We start from the raw sequence: 4,141 nt of genomic DNA on the forward strand, positions 1-4,141 counted from the left end.
ATTCTCTAGTCTCAATAAACCAGAGGCACGATGCACTGCGGAAAGCCGCAGGGACCTCTGCCCTTGAAAGCCGGGTATTGTCCAATTGTCCAAGCGGGGTATTGTTTCTCCCCATGTGATAGTCTGAAATATGGCCTCGTGGGATGAGAAAGACCCGACCGTCCCCCAGCCCGACACCCGTAAAGGGTCTGTGCTGAGGTGGATTGGTAAAAGAGGAAAGCCTCTTGCAGTTGAGATAGAGGAAAGCCACTGTCTCCTGCCTGCCCCTGGGAACTGAACGTCTCGGTATAAAACCCGATTGTACATTTGTTCAATTCTGAGATCGGAGAAAAACCACCCTATGGTGGGAGGTGAGACATGTTTGCAGTAATGCTGCTTTGTTATTCTTTACTCCACTGAGATATTTGGGTGGAGAGAAACATAAATCTGGCCTATGTGCACGTCCAGTCATAGTACCTTCCCTTGAACCTAATTACGACATAGATTCTTTTGCTCACATGTTTGTTGCTGACCTTCTCCTTATTATCACCCAGCTCTCCTACTACATTCCTTTTTGCTGAAATAATGAAAATAATAATCAATAAAAAGTGAGGGAACTCAGAGGCCGGTGCCGGTGCAGGTCCTTGGTATGCTGAGCGCTGGTCCCCTGGGCCCACTGTTGTTTCTCTATACTTTGTCTCTGTGTTTTATTTCTCTTTCTCAGTCTCTCGTCCCACCCGACTGGAAATACCCACAGGTGTGGAGGGGCAGGCCACCCCTTCACTGAGGGAAGAGAGAGACCCTCTCATATTGTTTTATGTTGTTTTATACTCATTACCTGTTTTAAGAAAACAGCAAGGAAGTGAGATCAAAGACAGGCAGCCCGGCGCCAGGCCCGAAACCAGGCCTGGGGCTGCCGGCCCTAAACCCAGTAGTTAAAACTCAACTCATAACTTAGAAACCGATGTTATTCATAGATTCCAGACGTCGTATAGAAGAACACTGCGAAACTCCCTGCCCCGTTCTGTTTCTCTCTGACCACAGGTGCACGCAGCCCCTGTCACGTACCCCTTGCCCGCTCAAATCAATCACGACCCTTTCATGTAAAATCTTTAGTGTTGTGAGCCCTTAAAAGGGACAGAAATTGTGCATTTGGAGAGCTGGGATTTTAAGGCAGTAGCTTCCCGATGCTCCCAGCTGAATAAAGCCCTTCCTTCTACAGCTTGGTGTCTGAGAGGTTTTGTCTGAGGCTCGTCCTGCTACATTACTTTTGTGGGTTTTTTTTTTGTTTTTTTTTCCAACTTCTTGCTTTTTCTCTCCTCCTGTCTTGTGAACTAGGCAAGGTGAGGGGACGATGGCAGCAGGAGGAGTACTGGTCTCCTTCCTTAAGAATATCCCTGGAAACTCTCTTTCCCATCTTGCACGATGGCAGGTGAAAAAGTTGAGAAGGCAGATACTAAAGAGAAGAAACCTGAAGCCAAGAAGGCTGATGCTGGTGGCGAGGTGAAAAACCGTCACCTCAAGGCTAAAAGGCCCAAGAAGAGGAAGCCCCATTGCAGCCACAACCGTGTCCTTGTCAGAGGAATTGGCAGGCAATCCCTATATCTCCCGTGTATTCCGGGAAGGCCGTGTACAAGAGGAAGTACTCAGCCACTAAATCCAACGTTGAAAAGAAAAAGAAGGAGAAGGTTCTTGCGACCGTTACACAACCAGTTGGCGGTGACAAGGACGGAGGTACCCGCGTGGTTAAACTTCGCAAAATGCCTAGGTATTATCCTGAAATGCCTACCCTTGTTTTTACTTTAACTTGTTACTTTGAATATTGTTCTGCTTGTCTCTTTAATCACCTAGACCTGCTTCTCATGTAAATGAGACTCTCTCTAGGTGGGAAAGCCGGACAAACTCCAATTGACCACTTAATTTTCAAGACTCTAAGGGCTCCTCACCCAACCCCCTTTCCTAAGGAGTTGGCCTGGGTAAACAGATCCTCAGCATTTCAAACGAGCCCAATTAACTAATAAGGTACTGGCACCCACAATGTATGAAGTTCCCCAGGAATTTTCCTCCAAGAGATAACAACATAAAACCTTCAGTTTGTGTCCTGCATAGACCGTATATCTAATTATAATGAAAGATTTAGAACCTTGCACCTGCTACCGTTGCTCTTCTTGTCACCATTTGTCTTTTAAGTTGTTTATCACTCTGTAACCCTTTTGATTTTTTTCATTCTTGCATGTTTTTACTTCTCTAGAATTATTACATTTGAGTCCCCCTCCCCTTCCTAAACCTAGGTATAAAAGTTAATCGAGCCCCTTCCGCGTGGCCGAGAGAATTTTGAGCGTTAGCCGTCTCTTTGGCCGCCGGCTTAATAAAGGACTCTTAATTCGTCTCAAAGTGTGGCGTTCTCACTAACTCGCCTGGGTACGACAATCCTACTGAAGATGTACCAGTTAGCACGTGAGAAAACGGCGAGCCAGCATTATGCCCGGGACCATTCGGATCCTCCTCACTGGAGGCCACATGGGCAAGAGTGATGGTTTTCCTGAAGCAGCTGGCTAGTGGCTTGTTACTTGTGACTGGACCTCTGGTCCTCAATCGAGTCCCTCCACGAAGAACGCACCAGAAATTTGTCATTGCCACCTCAACCAAAATCGGTATCAGCAACGTAAAAATCTCAAAACATCTTAGTGATGCTGACTTGAAGAAGAAGAAGCTGTGGAAGCCCAGACACCAGGAGAGTGATGGTTTTCCTGAAGCAGCTGGCTAGTGGCTTGTTACTTGTGACTGGACCTCTGGTCCTCAATCGAGTCCCTCCACGAAGAACGCACCAGAAATTTGTCATTGCCACCTCAACCAAAATCGGTATCAGCAATGTAAAAATCTCAAAACATCTTAGTGATGCTTACTTGAAGAAGAAGAAGCTGTGGAAGCCCAGACACCAGGAGAGTGATGGTTTTCCTGAAGCAGCTGGCTAGTGGCTTGTTACTCGTAACTGGACCTCTGGTCCTCAATCGAGTCCCTCCACGAAGAACGCACCAGAAATTTGTCATTGCCACCTCAACCAAAATCGGTATCAGCAATGTAAAAATCTCAAAACATCTTAGTGATGCTGACTTGAAGAAGAAGAAGCTGTGGAAGCCCAGACACCAGGAGAGTGATGGTTTTCCTGAAGCAGCTGGCTAGTGGCTTGTTACTCGTAACTGGACCTCTGGTCCTCAATCGAGTCCCTCCACGAAGAACGCACCAGAAATTTGTCATTGCCACCTCAACCAAAATCGGTATCAGCAATGTAAAAATCTCAAAACATCTTAGTGATGCTGACTTGAAGAAGAAGAAGCTGTGGAAGCCCAGACACCAGGAGAGTGATGGTTTTCCTGAAGCAGCTGGCTAGTGGCTTGTTACTCGTAACTGGACCTCTGGTCCTCAATCGAGTCCCTCCACGAAGAACGCACCAGAAATTTGTCATTGCCACCTCAACCAAAATCGGTATCAGCAATGTAAAAATCTCAAAACATCTTAGTGATGCTGACTTGAAGAAGAAGAAGCTGTGGAAGCCCAGACACCAGGAGAGTGATGGTTTTCCTGAAGCAGCTGGCTAGTGGCTTGTTACTCGTGACTGGACCTCTGGTCCTCAATCGAGTCCCTCCACGAAGAACGCACCAGAAATTTGTCATTGCCACCTCAACCAAAATCGGTATCAGCAATGTAAAAATCCCAAAACATCTTACTGATGCTTACTTCAAGAAGCAGCAGCTGCAGAAGCCCAGACACCAGGAAGGTGCCATCGTCGACACAGAAAAAGAGAAATATGAGATTATGTAGCAGCGTGAGATTGATTAGAAAGCTGTGGACGCACAGATTTCACCAAAAATCAAAGCTATTCCTCAGCTCCAGGGCTACCTAGGATCTGTGTTTGTCCTGACGAATGGAATCTATCCTCACAAATTGGTGTTCTAAATGTCTTAAGAACCTCATTAAATAGCTGACTACAAAAAAAAAAGGAATATACCTGGAACAAGCAGCAGGTTCCGTAGCGGGAACTTCCTTGGAATCAAAGCACCTTAATCGGGAAGAGGTTTCCTCATCTCTCCTTCTTCTCACCTGCTTTCCTTTGCCCTGCAAAGGCTGCAGAACACACCGCCTCAAAACATGGGGCTTTGTC

At 46.5% G+C, this 4,141-nt stretch overlaps 1 pseudogene; it reads left to right on the top strand.

Annotated features, from left to right (window-relative positions):
• The first annotated feature begins 1,404 nt into the window (after window positions 1-1,404).
• Window positions 1,405-3,936, top strand: LOC652608 (60S ribosomal protein L6-like; annotated as a pseudogene).
• The last annotated feature ends 205 nt before the right edge of the window (window positions 3,937-4,141 follow it).

Source organism: Homo sapiens, chromosome X, assembly GCF_000001405.40.
Source record: "Homo sapiens chromosome X, GRCh38.p14 Primary Assembly".
Lineage (NCBI taxonomy): Eukaryota > Metazoa > Chordata > Mammalia > Primates > Hominidae > Homo > Homo sapiens.